Source organism: Homo sapiens, chromosome X (genome assembly GCF_000001405.40).
Source record: "Homo sapiens chromosome X, GRCh38.p14 Primary Assembly".
Classification (NCBI taxonomy): domain Eukaryota; kingdom Metazoa; phylum Chordata; class Mammalia; order Primates; family Hominidae; genus Homo; species Homo sapiens.
The window spans coordinates 106,747,026-106,771,970 of record NC_000023.11 but is presented as its reverse complement, the minus strand read 5'-3'; the positions used below and the strand labels follow the sequence as shown (position 1 = coordinate 106,771,970).

Sequence of the window (24,945 nt, the reverse complement as noted above, 5' to 3'; positions counted from 1 at the left end):
CTGATATTAAGTTAAGGTGCTAATCTGGGTTAATGATCCAACTCCAATCTGGAATAAATACAAATACACACATGCAACTCTAAAAGGACTTTTAGAGGAGGTTCCAAGATGGCCGAATAGGAACAGCTCCAGTCTGTAGCTCCCAGTGTGAGTGATGCAGAAGACGGGTGATTTCTGCATTTCCAACTGAGGTACTGGGTTCATCTCACTGGGGCTTGCCAGACAAGTGGGTACAGCCCACGGAGCAGGGCAGGCCATCGCCTCACCCAGGAAGTGCAAGGGGTCAGGGAATTCCCTTTCCTAGCAAAGGGAAGCCGTGACAGACCGTACCTGGAAAATCGGGACACTCCCACTCTAATACTGCACTTTTCCAACAGCCTTAGCAAATGGCACACCAGGAGATTATAACCCGCGCCTGGCTCAGAGGGTCCCATGCCCATGGAGCCTCGCTCACTGCTAACACAGCAGTCTGAGATCAAACTGCAAGGCAGCAGTGGGGCTGGGGGAGGGGCGTACGCCATTGCTGAGGCTTGAGTAGGTAAACAAAGTGGCGGGCAAGCTCAAACTGGGTGGAGCCCACCACAGCTCAAGGAGGCCTGCCTGACTCTGTAGACTCCACCTCTGGGGGTAGGGCATAGGTGAACAAAAGGCAGCAGAAACTTCTGCAGACTTAAACATCCCTGTCTGACAGCTTTGAAGAGTAGTGGTTCTCCCAGCACGGAGTTTGAGATCTGAGAACGGACAGACTGCCTCCTCAAGTGGGTCCCTGACCCCTCAGTAGCCTAACTAGGAGACACTTCCCAGAAGGGGCCGACTGACACCTCATACAGTGGGGTGCCCCTCTGAGACGAAGCTTCCAGAGGAAGGATCAGGCAGCCACATCTGCTGTTCTGCAATATTTGCTGTTCTGCAGCCTCCGCTGGTGATACCCAGGCAAACAGGGTCTGGAGTAGACCTCCAGCAAACTCCAACAGACCTGCAGCTGAGGGTCCTGACTGTTAGAAGGAAAACTAATAAACAGAAAGGACATCCACACCAAAACCCTGTCAGTACGTCACCATCATCAAAGACCAGAGGTAGATAAAACCACAAAAATGGGGAGAAACCAGAGCAGAAAAGCTGAAAATTCTAAAAATCAGAGCGCCTCTTCTCCTCCAAAGGAATGCAGCTCCTCGCCAGCAACAGAACAAAGCTGGATGGAAAATGACTTTGATGGGTTGAGAGAAGAAGGCTTCAGATGATCGGTAATAACAAACTTCTCTGAACTAAAGGAGGATGTTCGAACCCATCGCAAAGAAGTAAAAACCTTGAAAAAAGATTAGACGAATGGCTAACTAGAATAAACAGTGTAGAGAAGTCCTTAAATGACCGGATGGAGCTGAAAACCATGGCATGAGGACTACGTGGTGCATGCACAAGCTTCAGTAGCCGATTTGATCAAGTGGAAGAAAGGGTATCAGTGATTGAAGATCAAATGAATGAAATGAAGCAAGAAGAGAAGTTTAGAGGAAAAAAAAGAGTAAAAAGAAATGAACAAAGCCTCCAAGAAATATGGGACCATGTGAAAAGACCAAATCTACGTCTGATTGGTGTACCTGAAAGTGACGGGGAGAATGGAACCACGTCGGAAAATACTCTTCAGGAGATTATCCAGGAGAACTTCCCCAATCTAGCAAGGCAGGCCAACATTCAAATTCAGGAAGTACAGAGAATGCCACAAAGATACTCCTTGAGAAGAGCAACTCCAAGACACATAATTGTCAGATTCACCAAAGTTGAAAAGAAGGAAAAAATGTTAAGGGCAGCCAGAGAGAAAGGTCGGGTTACCCACAAAGGGAAGCCCATCAGACTAACAGCGGATCTCTCGGCAGAAACTCTACAAATCAGAAGAGAGTCGGGGCCAATATTCAACATTCTTAAAGAATTTTCAACCCACAATTTCATATCCAGCCAAACTAAGCTTCAAAAGTGAAGGAGAAATAAAATTCTTTACAGACAAACAAATGCTGAGAGATTTTGTCACCACCAGGCCTGCCTTACAAGAGCTCCTGAAGGAAGCACTAAACATGGAAAGGAACAACTGGTACCAGCCACTGCAAAAGCATGCGAAATTGTAAAGACCATCGATGCTAGGAAGAAAATGCATCAACTAACGAGCAAAATAACCAGCTAACATCATAATGACAGGATCAAATTCACACATAATAATATTAACTTTAAATGTAAATGGGCTAAATGCTCCAATTAAAAGACATAGACTGAAAAGAAAAAGACACAGACTGGCAAATTGGATAAAGAATCAAGACCCATCAGTGTGCTGTATTCAGGAGACCCATCTCACATGCAGAGACACACATAGGCTCAAAATAAAGGGATGGAGGAAGATATACCAAGCAAATGGAAAGCAAAAAAAAAAAAAAAAAACAAAGCAGGTGTAGCAATCCTAGTCTCTGATCAAACAGACTTTAAACCAACAAAGATCAAAAGAGACAAAGAAGGTCATTACATAATGGCAAAGGGATCAATTCAACAAGAAGAGCTGACTATCCTAAATATATATGCACCCAATACAGGAGCACCCAGATTTATAAAGCAAGTCCTTAGAGACCTACAAAGAGACTTAGACACGCACACAATAATAATGGGAGACTTTAAAACCCCACTGTCAACATTAGACAGATCAACGAGACAGTAAGTTAACAAGGATATCCAGGAACTGAACTTAGCGCTGCACCAAGCAGACCTAATAGACATCTACAGAACTCTCCACCCCAAATCAACAGAATATACATTCTTCTCAGCACCACATAACACATATTCCAAAATGGACGACATAGTTGGAAGTAAAACACTCCTCAGCAAATGTAAAAGAACAGAAATTATAACAAACTGTCTCAGATCACAGTGCAATGAAACTAGAACTCAGGATTAAGAAACTCACTCAAAACCACACAACCACATGGAAACTGAACAACCTGCTCCTGAATGACTAATGGGTACATAACAAAATGAAGGCAGAAATAAAGATGTTCTTTGAAACCAATGAGAACAAAGACACAACATACCAGAATCTCTGGGACACATTCAAAGCAGTGTATAGAGGAAAATTTACAGCACTAAATGCCCACAAGAGAAAGCAGGAAAGATCTAAAATTGACACCCTAATATCACAATTAAAAGAACTAGAGAGGCAAGAGCAAACACATTCAAAAGCTGGCAGAAGGCAAGAAATAACTAAGATCAGAGCAGAAGAGAAGGAGATAGAGACACAAAAAACCCTTCAAAAAATCAATGAATCCAGGAGCTGGTTTTTTGAAAAGATCAACAAAATTGATAGACCACTAGCAAGACAAATAAAGAAGAAAAGAGAGAAGAATCAAATGGATGCAATAAAAAATGATAAAGGGGATATCACCACCAATCCCACAGAAATACAAACTACCATCAGAGAATACTATAAACCCCTCTACGCAAATAAACTAGAAAATCTAGAAGAAATGGATAAATTCCTCGACACATACACCCTCCCAAGACTAAACCAGGAAGAAGTTGAATCTCTGAATAGACCAATAACAGCCTCTGAAATTGTGGCAATAAATAATAGCCTACCAACCAAAAAAAGTCCAGGACCAGATGGATTCACAGCCGAGGTCTACCAGAGGTACAAAGAGAAGCTGGTACCATTCCTTCTGAAACTATTCCAATCAATAGAAAAAGAGGGAATCCTTCCTAACTCATTTTATGAGGCCAGCATCATCCTGATACCAAAGCCTGGCAGAGAGAAAATAAAAAAAGAAAATTTTAGACGAAAATCCCTGATGAACAATGATGCAAAAATCCTCAATAAGATACTGGCAAGCCGAATCCAGCAGCACATCAAAAAGCTTATCCACCACAATCAAGTTGGCTTCATCCCTGGGATGCAAGGCTGGTTCAACATAAGCAAATCAATAAATGTAATCCATCATATAAACAGAACCAAAGATAAAAACCACATGATTATCTCAGTAGATGCAGAAAAGGCCTTTGACAAAATTCAACAGCGCTTCATGCTAAAAACTCTCAATAAACTAGGTATTGATGGGACGTATCTCAAAATAATAAGAGCTATCTATGACAAACCCACAGCCAATATTATACAGAATGGGCAAAAACTGGAAGCATTCCCTTTGAAAACTGGCACAAGACAGGGATGCCCTTTCTCACCACTCCTATTCAACATAGTGTTGGAAGTTCTAGCCAGGGCAATCAGGCAAGAGAAGGAAATAAAGAGTATTCAATTAGGAAAAGAGGAAGTCAAATTGTCCCTATTTGCAGATGACATGATTATATATCTAGAAAACCCCATCGTCTCAGCCCAAATTCTCCTCAGGCTGATAAGCAACTTCAGCAAAGTCTCAGGATACAAAATCAATGTGCAAAAATCACAAGCATTCTTATACACCAATAACAGACAAACAGAAAGCCAAATCACGAGCGAACTCCCATTCACAATTGCTTCAAAGAGAATAAAATACCTAGGAATCTAACTTAAAAAGGATGTGAAGGACCTCCTCAAGGAGAACTACAAACCACTGCTCAACGAAATAAAAGAGGACACAAACAAATGGAAGAACATTCCGTGTTCATGGATAGGAAGAATCAATATTGTGAAAATGGCCATTCTGCCCAAGGTAATTTATAGATTCAATGCCATCCCCATCAAGCTGCCAATGACTTTCTTCATAGAATTGGAAAAAACTACTTTAAAGTTCATATGGAACCCAAAGAGCCCGCATCGCCAAGACAATCCTAAGTCAAAAGAACAAAGCTGGAGGCATCACCCTACCTGACTTCAAACTATACTACAAGGCTACAGTAACCAAAATAGCATGGTACTGGTACCAAAACAGAGATATAGATCAATGGAACAGAATAGAGCCCTCAGAAATAATACCACACATCTACAACCATCCGATCTTTGACAAACCTGACAAAAACAAGAAATGGGGAAAGGATTCCCTATTTAATAAATGGTGCTGGGAAAACTGGCTAGCCATATATAGAAAGCTGAAACTGGATCCCTTCCTTACACCTTATACAAAAATTAACTCAAGATGGATTAAAGACCTAAATATTAGACCTAAAACCATAAAAATCCTAGAAGAAAACCTAGGCAAATACCATTCAGGCCATAGGCATGGGCAAGGACTTCATGACCAAAACACCAAAAGCAATGGCAACAAAAGCCAAAATTGACAAATGGGATCTAATTAAACTAAAGAGCTTCTGCACAGCAAAAGAAACTACCGTCAGAGTGAACAGGCAACCTACAGAATGGGAGAAAAGTTTTACAATTTACCCATCTGACAAAGGGCTAATATCCAGAATCTACAATGAACTTGAACAAATTTACAAGAAAAAATCAAACAACCCTATCAAAAAGTGGGCAAAGGATATGAACAGACACTTCTCAAAAGAAGACATTTATGCAGCCAAAAGACACATGAAAAAATGTTCATCATCACTGACCATCAGAGAAATGCAAACCAAACTACAATGAGATACCATCTCACACGACTTAGAATGGTGATCATTAAAAAGTCAGGAAACAACAGGTACTGGAGAGGATGTGGAGAAATAGGAACTCCTTTAACTGTTGGTGGGAGTGTAAACTAGTTCAACCATTGTGGAAGACAGTGTGGCGATTCCTCAAGGATCTAGAACTAGAAATACCATTTGATCTAGCCATCCCATTACTGGGCATATACCCAAAGGATTATAAATCATGCTGCTATAAAGACACATGCACACGTATGTTTATTTCGGCACTATTCACAATAGCATAGACTTGGAACCAACCCAAATGTCCTTCAATAATAGACTGGATTAAGAAAATTTGGCACATATATACCATGGAATACTATGCAGCCATAAAAAGATGAGTTCATGTCTTTGTAGGGACATGGATGAAGCTAGAAACCATCATTCTGAGCAAACTATCACCAAGACAGAAAACCAAACACCGCATGTTCTCACTCATAGGTGGGAATTGAACAATGAGAACACTTGGACACAGGGTGGGGAACATCACACACTGGAGCCTGTCGTGGGGTGGGGGGCTGGGGGGGATAGCATTAGGAGATAAACCTAATATAAATGACGAGTTAGTTAATGGGTGCAGCACACCAACATGGCACATGTAAACATATGTGACAAACCTGCATGTTGTGCACATGTAGCCTAGAACTTAAAGTATAATAATAAAAAAACCAACAAAATATAAAATAAAAATAAAATGAAAGGACTTTTAGACTAGAATTTAAATACAAAAATACTGAATGTCTGAAATGTAGACACCCTCTGTTGTATCTTCTTCCAATATGAGTGTATTATCCAAATATCCCTTATGGGTCTGGAGGTAATTTTGCCAGAGAGTGCCCCTTTTTTCTATTTATTTGGGGACATTAAGTTTTTAGCTATGGCACTAAAATCACAGACATTATTTGTCTTTTCTCTAAAAGCCATTTCTCAGTAAAATATTAAAATAGTATTCACAGTTTTAATTTTCAAATTAAGGGTATAAACCTTAAATGGCAATGTACACAGTAAAATTGTTAATCAAGCAATCCCTTAAATTTATGGTCCTCAGTAGCCAAAGTTTTCAAAAGATGGGGCCAAAAAGAAATATCTCATAGTATGCTAAGATTCTCTCTTTATTTGAAGTTATTAATTTAAACATTTTATTCAAAGCATTTTATTATAGATCCTTAACATTCCAAAAGACACTATTTTTACATGATAGCCATTTAGTTAAGCCCTTTTTAAAACTCTACTGAGTCATGTGTGATCATTCAGTTTGATAGAGATTAATGACTCACCTTGTTCTCATTTACAAAAGGAAAATCTCAAAAACAATGGGGAGTGAAGGAGTCTGAAATGTAGAGACCCTCTGTTATATTTTCTTCCAATATCAGTATATGACCCAAATATCCCTTATGGATCTGGAGATAATTTTACCAAACAGTGGCCCTTTTTTTCTATTTATTTAGGGGCTTTAAATTTTTAGCTATGGCACTAAAATCACAGACATTATTTGTCTTTTCTCTAAGAGCCATCTCTCAGGAAAATGTATAGTAATAAAGTTGTGATTAATTATATAATGTAGCATTCATTTCCGATATTATAAACTGTATAATCTTTGAAAGCATAGAGAATTCTAAAAGTTAGGCTTTGGAATATATTTTTAAATATTTCTTTTGAATCACAGATGTGTACTGCTAATAAGTTGGTTTTTGTTGTTGTTGTTGTTGTTTTGTTTTTTTTGAGACGGAGTTTCGCTCCTTACCCAGAGTGGAGTGCAGTGGTGCAATCTTGGCTCACTGCAACCTCTGCCTCCTGGGTTCAAGTGATTCTCCTGCTTCAGCCTCCCGAGTAGCTGGCATTACAGGTGCATGCCACCACACCCAGCTAATTTTTGTGTTTTTAGTAGAGACGGGGTTTCACCATGTTGGCCAGGCTGGTTTCAAACCCCTAACCTCAGGTGATCCACCCACCTTGGCCTCCCAAAGTGCAGGGATTAGAGGCGTCAGCCACTGCACCTGGCCATAAGTTTTTAACTAATAGAAATGTTTTGTTCTTTTAGAACATATGGGGTAGGTGGCAGGGGTGGATACTCAGGAACACATGGGCCATTGTGGTCAGATGAAGGTTGAAAAACAAAACAAGGCCGGGCGTGGTGGCTCACGCCTGTAATTCCAGCACTTTGGGAGGCTGAGGTGGGTGGATCACGAGGTCAGGAGATCAAGACTATCCTGGCTAACATGGTGAAACCCCGTCTCTTCTAAAAATACAAAAAAAAATTAGTCGGGCGTGGTGGCGGGCACCTGTAGCCCCAGCTACTGGGGAGGCTGAGGCAGGAGAATGGCGTGAACCCGGGAGGTGGAGCTTGCAGTGAGCTGATATCGTGCCACTGCACTCCAGCCTGGGCGACAGAGCGAGACTCCATCTCAAAAAACAAAAACAAAAACCAAACCAAACCAAACCAAACCAAACCAAACCAAAAAACAAGGATAGGCAAGAAATGTACATTGTATACATCTTAGCAACAATGCTGTGCTTCAGTCCTCACAATCTATATTCATACGTGCTATATACAGTCCAACTATTAAAAAACCTGAATTGGCCGGGCGTGGTGGCCCACGCCTTTAATTCCAGCACTTTGGGAGGCCGAGGAGGCGGGCGGATCATGAGATCAGGAGATCGAGACCATCCTGGCTAACACGGTGAAACCCCATCTCTACTAAAAATACAAAAAATTAGCCGGGCGTGGTGGCGGGCGCCTGTAGTCCCAGCTACTCGGGAGGCTGAGGCAGGAGAATGGCGTGAACCCGGGAGGCGGAGCTTGCAGTGAGCCAAGATCGTGCCAGTGCACTCCAGCCTGGACGACAGAGCGAGACTCCGTCTCAACGAAAACAAAAAACCCTGAATTGGCTTCCTAATCATGTAAAAGACCTATTTCTAAGCATTTTGATACTTCCCATGCACTTGAAAATATCTGTAAACTGCTCCCCCTCCACTGTTCTCAATTGCAGTTAACAGTGTAACAACCCCTCTGGTCACCTAGTTTAGTAACCTCAGAATCATGTTTGAATCCTCACTGCTCACCTAGTCAGTCATGGAGATGCTATTTACTTTCTTGGTGTCTCCATTATCAGATCTTTCTATTTCTGCTGTCTTAATATAGACCCTCATAATTTCTTTGAAATAGGGTACTGAAACTATTACAGTAACCTCCTAGCTGGTCATCCTATATCCAGTCCCTCCCTTAAAGTTTCATTAGAGTTGACCTTTCTGCTTGACTTTTGCCATAACATGGTTGAATCATGCCTCTTTTTCTGCCCAGGAGTCTTTAGTGGCTCCTAATTACTCATTACAATCTGACTCCTTAGCCTAACATGTAAAGCCATATATGATCTGATCTCAACTGATCTTGCACATGTGTTGGTATGTTATATAGGCAAACTGTGTGTCACAGGGGTTTGTGTACAGATTATTTCATCATCCATGTAATAAGCATAGTGCCCAATAGGTATTCATCCTCCTCCCTTCCTCCACCCTCAAGTAGGCCCCGGTGTCCGTTGTTCCCTTCTTTGTGTCCATGTGTACTCAAAGTTTAGCTCCCACTTATACATAAGAACATGTGGTATTTGGTTTTCTGTTGCTGTGTTTGTTCACTCAGGATAATGGCCTCCAGCTCCATCCATGTTGCTGCAAAGAACATAATCTGTACACAAACCCCTGTGACACACAATTTGCCTATACAACAAACCAACACATGTGTCCTTGAGCCTAAAATAAAAGTTTAAAAAATTTCAAGACTGGGCTTGGTGGCTCACACCTGTAATCCCAGCACTTTGGGAGGCCGATGGGGGGCGGATCACCTGAGGTCAGGAGTTCAAGACCAGCTTGACCAACATGGAAAAACCCTGTCTCTACTAAAAGTACAAAATTAGCCAGGCGTGGCAGTGCATGCCTGTAATCCCAGCTACTCGGGAGGCTGAGGCAGGAGAATCGCTTGAACCCGAGGCAGAGGTTGTGGTGAGCTGAGATGGTGCCACTGCACTCCAGCCTGGGCAACAAGAGCAAAACTCCATCTCAAAAAAAAAAAAAAATCAAAAGTGGAGAATGGAATAGTGATTACCAGGGGCTGGGGAGGGTACAGGGTAGGGAAGGATGGAGAGAGGTTGGCCAATGTGTACAAACTTACAGTTAGGCAGGAAGAATAAGTTTGGTGTTTTTTTACACAGTAGGGTGACTATAGCAAACAGCAATGTAGTGTATGTTTTAAGATAACTAGAAGAAAAGATTTTGAATGATGTTACCACAAACAAATGAAAAATGTTCCATGTGATGGATATGGTAATTGCCCCCATTTGATCATTATACTACATAGTATACTTACATTTACAATCACATTGTACCCCATAAATATATACAATTATGTGTCAATTATAAATTTTTAAATTAAGGGTCTTTAAAAAAAAAAAGACAGTGTCTGCCCAAAATAAAAAAGTTCTTAATTTAGAGAGGCATGCCAATTGAGATGCAAAGTAAAATGAAATACTAGATAGAGGTTAGAAACCAAGTGACAGGGGACCAAAGAGGAAACATTTATTCTCTCACTTGGAGCTTGGGGAACCTGTATAGAAGCATCATTTGAGCTGGGACTTAAGTAATACATAGATAAGCAGAGGACAGGGAGTGTCAGAGCAAATATGGGTATTTTAGGCAGAAAGATCAGAATGAACAGTTAAGAAAAGTGAATGACAATAGTCCTATGTGGCTGTATCTGAGTACTCATGAGATCATACATGATCTCATTCTTTTTTTATGGCTGTATAATATTCCATGGTGTATTTGCACCACATTTTCTTTATTCAGTCCACCATTGATGGGCATTTAGGTGGATTCCATGACTTTGCTATTGTAAATAGTGCTGTGATGAACATACATGTGCATGTGTCTTTATGGTAGAATGATTTATATTCCTTTGGGTATATACCCAATAATGGGATTGCTGTGTCAAATTGCAATTCTGCTTTGAGTTTTTTGAGAAATCAGCAAACTGCTTTCCACAATGGCTGAACTAATTTACATTCCCACGAGCAGTGTATAAGCGCTCCCTTTTCTCTAAAACCTTGTTAACATCTGTTATTTTTTGACTTTTTAATAATAGCCATACTGACTGGTGGGAGATGGTATTGCATTGTGATTTGGATTGGTATTTCTCTAGTAATCTGATTAGTGATGTTCAGTAATTTTTCATATGTTTCATTTGTTGGCTGCATGTATGTCTTCTTTTGAAAAGTGTCTATTCATGTTCTTTGTCCAGTTTTTAATGGGGTTGTTGGATTTTTGCTTGTTAATTTAAGTTCCTTAAAGATTTCGGATATCAGACCTTTGTTGGATGCATAGTTTGCAAATATTTTCTCCCATTCTGTAGGTTGTCTGTTTACTCTGTTGATAGTTTCTTTTGCTATGCAAAAGCTTTTTAATTTAATTAGGTTGCATTTGCCAACTTTTGTTTTTGTTTTTGCTTTTGTTGCAATTGCTTTTGGCACTTAATTTCCTCCAGGTTCATCCACACTGCTGCAAATGACACGATTTGCTGCTTTTTAAATGCTGAATAGTATTCCATTGTATACACGTGTGACTTTTTCTATATCCATTCATCCATTGATGGATACTTAGCTTGATTCCATATCTTTGCTGTTGTGAATAGTGCTAAAATAAACATGGGAGGGCAGATATCTCTTGGACAAACTGACTTCCATTCCTTTGGATAGATACCCAGTAATTGAATTGCCAGATTATATGGTAATTGTATTTCTAACATTTTTAAAAACTCTCCATACTGTTTTCCAATATGGCTGGACTAATTTACATTCCCACCAACAGTAAGTATATAAGAGTTCCCTTTTCTCCACATCCTTGCCAGTATTTGTTTGTTTTTTGTCTCTTTTATAATAGCCATCCTAACTGGAGTGAAGTGATATCACATTGCAGTTTTGATTTGCATTTTCCTGATGATTGGTGACGTTGAATATTTTTTCATGTAACTGTTGGCTATTTGTATGCTTCTTTTGAGAACTGTCTATTCAGGTCTTTTGCCCATTGTAAAATCAGATTATTTGTTGTTTTGCTATTTAATTGTTTGAGTTAACAGTCTCTTAATGACAGTAATGCCTTTATCTGCTATTTTTAGGAATTAGATGTTCCATAAAAGTAAAATTTATAGGTAACAAAAGGTTTTACACAAATACTTAGTTTTAACAATTTTGAATGAACACTCGAAAAAGTAATCTATATTTTCCTAAATTTTTTATTCTTTTTATAAAATTTTTAGTTTTTATGGGTGCATGTCAGGTGTATATATTTCTAGGTTACATGAGATATTTTGATACAGACATACAATCTGTAATAATCACATCAGGGTAAATGGGGTATCCATCACTTCAAGCATTTTTATTTTCTTTGTGTTACAAACATTCCAGTTATGCTTTTAGTTATTTTAAAATGTACATTAAGTTATTGTTGACTACAGTCACCCTTTTGTGCTATAAAATGCTAGGTCTTACTCATTCTATCTAACTATATTTTTGTGCCCAGTAATAATCCCCAATTTCTTTCTACCCACCTCTACCCTTCCCAGCCTCTGGTAACCATCCTTCTGATATCTATCTCCAACTGTTTAAAATTTTAGCTCTCATAAATGAGTGGAAAACATGCAAAGTTTGTCTTTCTGTGCCTGGCTTATTTCACTTAACATAATAATTCTCCAGTTCCATATGTGTTGTTGCAAATGACAGGAACTCATTTTTCTTTATGGCTGAATAGTACTCCATTGTGTGTAAGTACCACATTTTCTTTATCCATTTGTCTCTTGATGGACACTTAGGTTGCTTCCAAATCATGGTTATTGTAGAATAGTGCTGCAATAAACACGGGGGTGTAGACATCTCTTTGATATCCTGATTTCCTTTCTTTTGGGTATATACCTAGCAGTGGGATTGCTGGATTATACGGTAATTCTATTTTTAGTTTTCTGAGGAACCTCCATATTGTTCTACATAGTGGCTGTAGTAATTTACATTCCAACCAACAGTGTACAAGGGTTCCCTTTCCTCTACATCCTCGCCAGCATTCATTATTGCCTGACTTTTGAATAAAAGCCATTTTAACTGGGATGAGATAATATCTCATTGTAGTTTTTATTTGCATTTCTGATGATCAATTATGTTGAGCATCTTTTCATATACCTGTTTGCCTTTTGTATGTCTTCTTTTGAGAAATGTCTATTCAGATCTTTTGTCCATTTTTAATCGGATTATTAGATATTTTCCTATTTAGTGATTTCAGCTCCTTAAGTATTCTGGTTATTAATCCCTTGTCAGATGAATAGTTTGCAAATATTTTCTCCCATTCTATGGGTAGTCTCTTCTACTTGCTGATTGTTTTCTTTGCTGGTAGAAGCTTTTTAGCTTGATGTGATCTCCTTTCTTCATGTTTGCTTTGGTTACCTGTACTTGTGGTGGGGTATTGCTCAGGTAATCTGTGCTCAGTCCAATGTCCTGGAGAGTTTCCCCAGTGTTTTCTTTTAGTAGTTTCATATTTTGAGGTCTTAGATTTAAGTCTTCATTCCATTTTGATTTGATTTTTGTATATGGCAGGAGATACGGGTCTAGTTTCATTCTTCTGCACATGGATATGCAGTTTTGCCAGCAGCATTAATCGGAGAGCCTATCTTTTCCCCAATGTATGTTCTTGGCACTTTGTTGAAAATAAGCTCACTGTGAATGTATAGATTTATTTCTGAATTCTCTATTATTTTTCTTTGGTCTATATGTCTGTATTTATGCCAGTACCATGCTTCTTTGGTTACTATAACTGTGTAGTATAATTTAAAGTCAGGTAATATGTTTCCTCTAGTTTTGTTCTTTTTGCTCAGGATGGCTTTGGCTATTCTGGGTCTTCTGTGGTTTCATATAAATTCTATAATTATTTTTTCTATTTATGTGAATGATGTCATTGGTATTATATCTTAATAGGGATTGCATTAAATCTGTAGATTGCATTGGGTAGTATGAACCTTTTAATAAAATTGAAACTTCCAATCCATGAACATGGAATATCTTTCCATCTTTTTGTGCCATCTTCAATTTCTTATATCATTGTTTTACAGTTTTCATTGTAGAGCTCTCTTCTTTGGTTAGGTTTCCTCCTAGTACTTTATTTTATTTGTTGTTATTGTAAATGGGAATACTTACTTGATTTCTTTTTCAGATTGTGTGCCATTGGCATCTAGAAATACTACTGATTTATATATGTTGATTTTGCATTCTGCAGCTTTACTGAATTTATCAGTTCTAATAGTTTGTTGTGGGGCCTTTAGGTTTTTCAAACTATAAGATCATATTATCTGCAAACAAGGATAATTTGACTTTTTCCTTTCCAATTTTGTTGCCCTTCTTTCTCTTGTCTGATGTCTCTAGCTAGGACCTCCAGTACTACGTTGCATAACAGTGGTAAAAGTGGATATATCTGTCCTGTTCCAGGTATTAAAGGAAAGGCTTTCAGTTTTTCCCTATTCAATATGATACTGAGCTGTGGATCTGTCACATATAGCTTTTATTGCAATGAGGTATGTTCCTTGCATACACAGATTTTTTAGGGTTTTTTTTAAATTTATTTTTTTATTATACTTTAAGTTTTAGGGTACATGTGCACATTGTGCAGGTTAGTTACATATGTATACATGTGCCGTGCTGGTGCGCTGCACCCACTAACTCGTCATCTAGCATTAGGTATATCTCCCAATGCTATCCCTCCCCCCTCCCCCCACCCCACCACAGTCCCTAGAGTGTGATATTCCCCTTCCTGTGTCCATGTGATCTCATTGTTCAATTCCCACCTATGAGTGAGAATATGCGGTGTTTGGTTTTTTGTTCTTGCGATAGTTTACTGAGAATGATGATTTCCAATTTCATCCATGTCCCTACAAAGGACGTGAACTCATCATTTTTTATGGCTGCATAGTATTCCATGGTGTATATGTGCCACATTTTCTTAATCCAGTCTATCATTGTTGGACATTTGGGGTGGTTCCAAGTCTTTGCTATTGTGAATAATGCCACAATAAACATACGTGTGCATGTGTCTTTATAGCAGCATGATTTATAGTCCTTTGGGTATATACCCAGTAATGGGATGGCTGGGTCAAATGGTATTTCTAGTTCTAGATCCCTGAGGAATCGCCACACTGACTTCCACAATGGTTGAACTAGTTTACAGTCCCACCAACAGTGTAAAAGTGTTCCTGTTTCTCCACATCCTCTCCAGCACCTGTTGTTTCCTGACTTTTTAATGATTGCCATTCTAACTGGTGTGAGATGGTATCTCATAGTGGTTTTGATTTGCATTTCTCTGATGGCCAGTGATGATGAGCATTTTTTCATGTGTTTTTTGGCTGCATAAATGTCTTCTTTTGAGAAGTGTCTGTTCATGTCCTTCGCCCACTTTTTGATGGGGTTGTTTTTTTCTTGTAAATTTGTTTGAGTTCATTGTAGATTCTGGATATTAGCCCTTTGTCAGATGAGTAGGTTGCGAAAATTTTCTCCCATTTTGTAGGTTGCCTGTTCACTCTGATGGTAGTTTCTTTTGCTGTGCAGAAGCTCTTTATTTTAATTAGATCCCATTTGTCAATTTTTTCTTTTGTTGCCATTGCTTTTGGTGTTTTGGACATGAAGTCCTTTCCCATGCCTATGTCCTGAATGGTAATGCCTAGGTTTTCTTCTAGGGTTTTTATGGTTTTAGGTCTAACGTTTAAATCTTTAATCCATCTTGAATTGATTTTTGTATAAGGTGTAAGGAAGGGATCCGGTTTCAGCTTTCTACATATGGCTAGCCAGTTTTCCCAGCACCATTTATTAAATAGGGAATCCTTTCCCCATTGCTTGTTTTTGTCAGGTTTGTCAAAGATCAGATAGTTGTAGGTATGCAGCATTATTTCTGAGGGCTCTGTTCTGTTCCATTGATCTATATCTCTGTTTTGGTACCAGTACCATGCTGTTTTGGTTACTGTAGCCTTGTAGTATAGTTTGAAGTCAGGTAGTGTGATGCCTCCCGCTTTGTTCTTTTGGTTTAGGATTGACTTGGTGATGCGGGCTCTTTTTTGATTCCATATGAACTTTAAAGTAGTTTTTTCCAATTCTGTGAAGAAAGGCATTGGTAGCTTGATGGGGATGGCATTGAATCTGTAAATTACCTTGGGCAGTATGGCCATTTTCAAGATATTGATTCTTCCTACCCATGAGTATGGAATGTTCTTCCATTTGTTTGTATCCTCTTTTATTTCTTTGAGCAGTGGTTTGTAGTTCTCCTTGAAGAGGTCCTTCACATCCCTTGTAAGTTGGATTCCTAGGTATTTTATTCTCTTTGAAGCAATTGTGAATGGGAGTTCACTCATGATTTGGCTCTCTGTTTGTCTGTTGTTGGTGTATTAAGAATGCTTGTGATTTTTGCACATTGATTTTGTATCCTGAGACTTTGCTGAAGTTGCTTATCAGCTTAAGGAGATTTTGGGCTGAGACAATGGGGTTTTCTAGATATACAATCATGTCATCTGCAAACAGGGACAATTTGACTTCCTCTTTTCCTAATTGAATACCCTTTATTTCCTTCTCCTGCCTAATTGCCCTTTTTTAGGGTTTTTAATCGTGAAAGGATGTTGAACTTTATCAAATGATTTTCAGCATCAATTGGAATTATATGCTTTCTGTCCTTCATTGTGTTGATAGGATGTAGGACATTGATTGATTTATGTATAACTATCCTTGCATCCCTAGGATAAATCCCACTTGATCATGATCAATTACCCTATTAATGTGTTGCTGAATTTGGTTTGTTAATATTTGGTTGAGGTTTTGCATTGATGTTCATCAGAGAGACTTGCCTGTAGTAGTTTCCTTTTTTTTTTCGATATGTCTTTGTCTGGTTTTGGTATCAGGGTAATACTGGCCTCATAGAATGAGTCTGGAAGTATTTCTTCCTGCTCCGTTTTTTCAGAATAGTTTCAGTAGGGTTGGCATTAGTTCTTCTTTAAACGTTTGGCAAAAATCAGCAGTGAAGTCATTGGGTTCCAGGTTTTTCTTTACTGGGGGACTATTTGTCATGGCTTTCTTCTCATTACTTGTTATTGGTCTATTCAGGTTTTGGTTTTCTTCCTGATCCAATCATGGAAGGTTCTGTGTGTCTAGGAATTTATCCATTTCTTCAACGTTTTCCAATTTATTGGCGTATAGCTGCTCCCAGTAGTCTCCAGGGATTCTTTGAATTTCTGTGGTATTGGTTGTATGTCCCATTTTTCATCTTTATCTATTTGGGTTTTCTCTTTTTCTTTATTCTGGCTAAAGGTTTGTTGATTTTATTTATTTTTTAAAGAAAACAACTTTTCATGTCATTGATGTTTTGTGTTTTTTTATTTCAATTTATTTCTGCTCTGATCTTTATTAATTCTTTTCTTCTACTAATTTTCCATTTGGTTTGCTCTTGCTTTTCTAGTTCTATTATTAGGTTGTTAATTTGAAGGTTTTCTACATTTTTGATGTAGGCACTCATTTTTATAAACTTTCCTATTAGTACTGTTTTTGCTATATCTCATAGGTTTTGTTACATTTTGTTTTCATTTCCACTTGTTTCAAGAAATTTTAAAATTTTCTTCTTAATTTCTACATTAACCCACTGGTCATTCAGGAGCATACTGTTTATCTCCATGTATTTGTATAGTTTCCAAAGTTTCTGTTATTATTGACTTAGTTTTATTCCATTGTGGTTAGAGAAGATGCTTGATATTTCAATTTAAAAAAAATTTTGGCTGGGCATGCTGGCTCACACCTGTAATCCCAGCACTTTGGGAGGCCAAGGTGGCAGATCATTTGAGCCAAGGAGTTTGAGAACAGCTTGGGCAATATGGTGAGACCCTGTCGCTACAAAAAAAAAAAAAAAAAAAAAAAAAAAAAAAGAGAAAGAAAACATTGCCAGGTGTGGTGGCATGTGCCTGTAGTCCCACTGTAGTCCCAGCTACTTGGAAGGCTGAGGTGGAAGGTTCCCTTCAAGTCTGGTAGGTTTAGGCTGCAGTGAGCCGAAATCATGCCACTACACTCCAGCCTGGGCAACAGAGTGAGAACTTGTCTGAAAAAAAAGAAAAAAGAAAAAAATTATTTGTTTTATGACTTAACATATGGTTTATCCTTGAGAATGATCCACGTGCCAAAGAGACAATTGTGTCTTCTGTAGCTGTTGGATGAAATGTTCTGTAAATATCTATTAGGTCCATTTGTTCTCTACTGCACATTAAGTGTGATATTTCTTTGTGGATTTTCTGTCCGGATGATCTGTCCAATGCTGAAAGTAGGGTGTTGAAGTCTCCAGCTATTATTATATCAGGGTCTATATCCCACCTTCTAGTTTGTATAATATTTGCTTTATACACCTGGGTGCTCCAGCTTTGGGTGCATATATACACTTGTTCTATCTTCTTGCTGAATTGATCCTCTTATCATTATATAATGACCTTCTTTATCTCTTTTTATAGTTTTTGTCTTGAAATCTATATTGTGTGATATAAGTATAGCTACTCCTCTTTGTTGTTTTCTATTTGCATGGAATATCTTTTTCCATCCTTTTATATTCAGTCTATGTGTGTCCTTATAGGTGAAGTGTGTTTCTTAAGGATGGCAGCTAGTTGGGGCTTTTTAATGCATTCAGCCATTCTATGTTTTTTGATTGAAAAGTTTATTCTATTTAAATTCAATGTTATTATTGATAAGTTCTTACTCCCTTCCCATTTTATTATTTGTTTTCTGGTTGTTTTGTGATCTCTTCCTTTGTTCCCTCTCTGTCTTCTTTTTGTGAAGGTGATTGTCTCTGGTGGTATGTTTTAATTTCTTGCTTTTTATTTTTTGGTGTATCTGTTCTAGGTTCATTGATTTGAGGCTACCATGAATGTTATAGATAACATCTTATATTGCATTATTTCAAACTGATGACAACAGTGATTGCTAAAACAAACAAACAAACAAAGAGAAAACTAATTGAAACTCTATACTTTAACTTTATCCCCTCCATGGCTTTTTACATTTTTATTGTTTCTATTCATATCTTATTATACTGTCTATGTCTTCAAAACTTGCAGTTATTATTTTTGATAGGTTCATCTCTTAGTCTTCCTACTCAAGGTATGAGTAGTTCACACACCACAACTACAGTGTTATAATATTATTCCTTTGAATATGCTTTCTATCTCGATCTCTCTACCACCTCTTTAAGGCAAATAACTCTTAGATCTGTACTTTTGAAGCTATTTTCTAGATGTTGTAGGTGTGCTTCATTCTATTTTATTCTTTTTTTGTCTCCTCTGACTGTGTATTTTCAAACAGCCCCTCTTCAAGCTCAATACTTTTTTCTTCTGCTTGATCAGTTCTGCTGTTGAAAGACTCTGATGCATTCTTCGGTATATCAATTGCATTTTTCAGCTCCAGAATTTATGCTTGATTTTTTTAAAGTATTTCAATCTCTTTGTTCAATTTATCTGATAGAATTCTGAATTCCTTCTCTGTGTTATCTGGAATTTCACTGAGCTTCCTCAGAACAGCTATTTTGAATTCTGTCTAAAAGGTCACATACCTCTGTTACTCTGGGATTGGTCACTGGTTCCTTCTTTATTTCATTTTCTGAGGTAATGTTATCCTGGATGATCTGGATGCTTGTGGATATTTCTTGGTGCTTGTGCACTGAAGAGATAGGTATTATAATATTCACAGTCTGGGCTTGTTTATACCTGTCCTTCTTGAGAATGCTTTTCAAGCATTCAAAGGGAATTGAGTGTTGTGATCTAAGTTTTTGGTCACTTTAGCCATATATGCATTAGGGGGCACCCCAAGCCCAGTAACGCTGTGGCTCTTGCAGACTAGTAGAGGTACTGTTTTGGTGGTCTTGGGTAATATCTAGGAGAATTCCCTGGATTACCAGGCAGAATGTGTTGTTCTCTTCCCTTACTTTCTCTCAAACAAAAGGAATCTCTCTCACCATGCTGTGCTGCCTGGAGTTGGAGGAGAGGTGATGCAAGCACCCCTGTGGCCACCACTGCTGGGACTGAGCTGCATTAGACCAGAAACCAGCATAGTTCTGGGTTTTGCCCAAGGCTTATGGTGAGTATTGCTGTTTGTTCAAGGCCCAAGGGTTCTTTAATCAGCAGGTGGTGAATCCAGCCAGGCTTGTGTCTTTCCCTTCAGGGTGGTGGTGTCCCTTCTGGCCCAGGGTGGGTCTAGAAATGCTGTCTGGGAGGTAGGGTCTGGAGTCAGGAACTTTAGGAATCTATTCGGTGCTTTATTTTACTGTGGCTGAACTGGTACCCAAATTGCAAGGTGAAGTCCTTTTTACTTTTCACTCTCCTTTCCTCAAGCAGAGAAAAGGAGTCTCTCCCCTTGGCCACTACAGCTGGGAATGTGCTGGGTCACACCTGAAGCCTTGCCCAAGGCTCATGGTGAGTACTGCTTAGCTACTAATAATGTTTATTCAAGGTCCAAGGGCTCTGTAGTCAGCAGGTGATGAATCCTTCCAGAACTGGGTCCTTTCCTTCAAATTGGTGGGTTCCCTTCTGGCCCAGGGTGTGTCTAGAAATGTCATCCAGGATCTAGGGCCTGGAGTGTGGGCTTCAGGACTCTGCTTGGTGCTTTATTTTACTGTGGCTGAGCTGGTATCCAAATGTTAAGACAAAGTCCACTTTAATCTTTCCTCTCCTCCCAGAGCTGTGAGCTGTACTGCCTGGAGTTGGGGGAGGGGTGATGCAAACGCTTTCTTGGCCATATGCACCGCAAGTCCTCTGGTTCTGAGCCCAGCACAGAACCACCAGGACTTGCCTCAAAATTGCAGTCCTTTTGGTCTAGACTGCCTTTCGTATTTATTTAGGACCCCAGGGCACTTTAGCTCACAGTGGTGAGGCTTGCCAGAGGGATGGACAATTCTCCTCCGGCTAGGGCTGGTCTAAATGCTCCCTCCATGGGTATGGGCACAATTATGCCCCATGTTGTTTTCCTCTGTGACAGGGTAGCACTGAGTTCTGATGCAAAGTCCCACAATCACTGTGCTCTCCTTCCCCTAAACACACAGATTTTCTCTCTGTGCCAAGCTGCACCACCAGGGGATGAGGGAGGGGTGGTGTAAGAAATTAATGACTATCTTTCCTATCCTATCCAGTGCCTCTTTCCTTAATATGATGTTAAAACAAGGCACTGTTACTGCTCACCTGATTTTTGATTCTTACAAAGATGCTTTCTTGTGTGGGGAGTTGTTCAATTTGGTGTTCCTATGGAGGGGATGATCACTGGTGGGTTTTATTTGGCCATCTTGCTCCCTGTCCTATTTTCTTAACTAATAGATACTGATTATGATTTATTATTGACAGTGGATTATCTTTGTATGCCATTATTTAACATAGTAGTAAGATTATTTGTTTCTAAACTGTTGCAATTTTTCACTCTTGTCATAAATTTTTGGAAATGGAACAGATCTTAGCAATCAAGCAGTCTGACTCATTTTTGAGTTCTCACATTGGATAATTTTCTTTGAGGGAGGAAGGTTCTCACTTCAGTTGTTGCTTCTAGCAGCATCTCTCCTCTCTCTCTTTTTTTTTGTGTGATGTCATGCTTCTAATATCCCTTTGGCTCAGAAAAGACAATCAAGCTTGGTTCTACAGAAAGAGTAAAATTAGCTTCTAGAGAAAGCTTGGGGGCTTCAGGGCAAGTACCCTCTGTCTGACATTTACATTGGTGGCTCAGTGATGTTTTTGTTTATTTCCTGAATCCTGGCTATGCACTGGATTTCTGAGGTTGCCAGATAAGATTTATCTATAAAACAGACCCTTAACATATTTAATCCTCACGTCAACCCTATAAGGTAGGCATTGCTACTATCCCCATTAATGATAAGTTTGACTAACTGCCTAGGGTAACACAAGCTAGTAAGTGAAGAAATGGTATTTGTACCCAGATAGTTTGGCTCTGGTATCTCTGCTCTTCACCATTCTACACTAGTTATCTTCAATGAAACCTAAAGCTGTTATTTAACTGTAAAAGTGAAAATTAAATAGGCACATTCATGGGTGCAGTAGTAAATGTTTAGAAATCTGCTCTCAGGGTTGGAGAAAGCCCTAATGTGTAGTGTGTGCCAGTTTCCATGGTGTAAATACTCCCACCATAGCCACGTGAATGTGGAATTGGGATGAAATGTGTACAACTGACTGAACAAGCTCACCACTGGACATTACAGATTCAAAACTTAAGTACAATTGATTATTCACTCAGTTACAGATTGAACTGCTTATTCTACTCTTTCCCCACTTCTCACTACTGAACTTACCTAGTCTTAAAAAAGCTTAACTACAACTAAATACAATTCAAAATCTGTAACTATTTTACTTTGCTATTCTTTTCACTTGTGCATACCTAATTTCCTTTTTTTTTTTTTTGAAACAAGGTCTCGCTCTGTTGCCCAGGCTGGAGTGCAGTGGCACGATCACGGCTCACTGCAGTCTCCACCTCCCAGGATCAAGTGATACTCCCACCTCAGCTTCCTGAGTAGTTGGGAATACAGGTGTACACCACCACACCCGGGTAATTTTTTTATTTTGTAGAAACAGGGGTCTCACTATGTTGCCCAGGCTGGCTTCAAACTTCTGGCTTCAAGCTATCCTCCCACCATGGCCTCCTAAAGAGCTGGGATTACAGGTGTGAACTACCATGGCTGGCCTCATACTTATGTTTAAAAACTAGTGAAAACCCATGCACATTCCCAAATTAAGTGTTTCTACTTGTTACTCTGTTGAAAACCACAAAATATGTACCCTGAAACTCCAAGGAAGAACAATCAAACTTCCTTTGTGGAACAAGAAAGAAACCCTTTTAGTGTGTGTGCTTTTTTGTGTGGTGTTGTGTGTTTCTGTTGCTACAGCAGGCCTTGTTGAGCCTCTTTTTCCCTTTAGCTTTTTTCTATCCTTAAAATATTGGAAAGGGTCTCTTATAATGCGCCAGCGAATTCCAAACCTTTCAAATTAAAATTAGTGACTTTGTAAGTTATCTTTCTAAAGGACCACAAAACATTCAGATGTAAAGTTAGCCATTTATTATAAGCAATATAGATGTGGTCATGTTCAGAATTTATCATAGATATTTAATCTCCCGATTTTCAGTGTGTTAGGGAATAGAAAGTGAAGGGAATATTTAAAACATACACAGGACCAGAAGCTTTTCTCATATTAAACAAGATTTTGGAAAATGTGAAGGATGGCATTTTTTTCAAAGATAGATTAAAATATCATCTTTTGCCTGAGAAAAAAATTCACTTCCTTTTTTAAAAATTGATGTATCATAGTTGTACATATTTTTGTGATAAATGTGATATTTTGATAACTGTATATAATATGTAATGATTAAATCAGGGTAATCAGGATATTTGTCATCTCAAATATTTATTTTTCTTTGTGTTGAGAAGATTACAATTCTTTTAGCTGTAAGTTATTCACTACTGTATTATTGTATACTAGAGCTTATTTCTTCTGTCTAACTGTATTTTTGTGCCCCTTATACAACTTCTCTTCATCCCTCCCCTTCCTGGCCTCCGATAACCACCAATCTACTCTCTATCTTCATGAGATTCACTTTTTTAGCTCCCACATGAGTGAGAACATGTGACATTTGTCTTTCTGTGCCTTGCTTATTTCATTTGACACAATATCCTCTAGTTTCATCCATGTTGCTACAAATGACAGGATTTCATTTTTTAAGGCTGTATAGTATTCCATTGTGTACACATACCACATTTTCTTTATCCATTCATCTTTTGATGACTGATTCCATATCTTGGCTATTGTAAATAGTGCTGCAATATCAAAGCATTTCTTTAAGTGCTCATAAAAATTGATCTTTGAAAACAAGAGTTCAGGCCCTCAAGAACACAAGTCCAATGAACAGAAACCATATCACTGAATCTATGTTGTTTATGTTGCTGAGTTTTGCTTATCAGCAAATTTTGTTATTCTCTCATAATAAAACAACACCATATTATACAAATGGAATCAGTTTTACCACAGTCTGTAAAATTATGTTTTTTTCTCAAAATGTTGAGAGCTGATCTTTAAAACCAATGTTGATATGCTAATACATAGATTCCTGTACAAGTTCTAGAGTTTTCCACTTTTCTGTCCAAAATTTCACTGTAACAACTATTTCCTTTGGAAAGTACCAGGCTTAAGAAGCCAAAAATGGGTTACATAGCTCAGTTGATTAAAACGTAGCACTAATAAGATCAAAGCTATGGTTCCATTAACTTTCTTGTGGACCGGTTATACAGAAGACAGACAGTACTCTTAATTTCATTCATTAAGTGTTTTACTGAATATCTACACACATGCCTGGCACTATGCTAGCCTGTGGGGCTATAGAGAGTAATAAAGTGCAGTCCCTGCCCTCTACACACTTGCAAATATCTTCCGTATGTTAGATATTCATCACTAGGAAGAATATGATCCAAGCCAGTGAAATGAATTGTATATATCTACTATTATGGCCAGTAGTAGAAAATAATAATTCCCAAATCACATTTCAAACTGATACAAGTAGAATAAAAAGGAAAATTTATTTTCCTTCAATGTCCAATGATTTGTAAAATAACAAATTGTTTTGTATTGGTTTTGATATTTCTCAACTTGATAGTGTTCTTTATTTAAAAACTGGTAACCTGAAACAGTCTACAGTTTGGGAGAGAGAAACAGTATAATGTAGCCAAAGTAACTCAAATGGGATCAGAAGATTGGGTTGCATCTTCTGCATGAAGGAGGTCAGGCTGTGCTAGGTTTCTAAGGTTCTATAATCAAGTCTGGCAAAGGAAGATCACTACATTTCTTCTATCCTTATAGAATCTCTCCAAATCATTTATTAATTTCATCCTATTTTTCTAAACAAACATAGCGCTCATCCCAAAGAAAAGAAAAAAGTCCTTAATTTGCTAAAAGTATCTGATGAGAAAAACTGATAATTGGACAACAGATAGTCTAAACCCCAATCACAGAACAGCTGTCTTTTCAAGATTTCAATCTTTCTAAATCTGTACTTTGTTTCAAAGGTAATTGTGAGATCATTCACACCCTTTTCTTTCATGGACTGTTAGGCAAAAATCATTAACACAAACTATAAAATTTATTTGTTAAATGCCTATCTGATTTGTAGAGATCAATCAAGGATTTACTCATAAATCTTATATCTAATAATTACATTTTCAGAGTTGAATAGCAGAAAAAGCTGTCATTTTTATAATTCCAGTGTATTTATACCACTTTGTATTTGACAATTT

The 24,945-nt window shown here is 38.4% G+C and overlaps 1 protein-coding gene across 2 annotated transcripts in view; it reads right to left on the bottom strand.

The window, feature by feature from the left end:
• The window catches only part of RNF128 (ring finger protein 128), a 103,179-nt gene that overhangs the window by 25,046 nt on the left and 53,188 nt on the right, over positions 1–24,945 (bottom strand). The gene's annotated exons all lie outside the window — the stretch shown is intronic.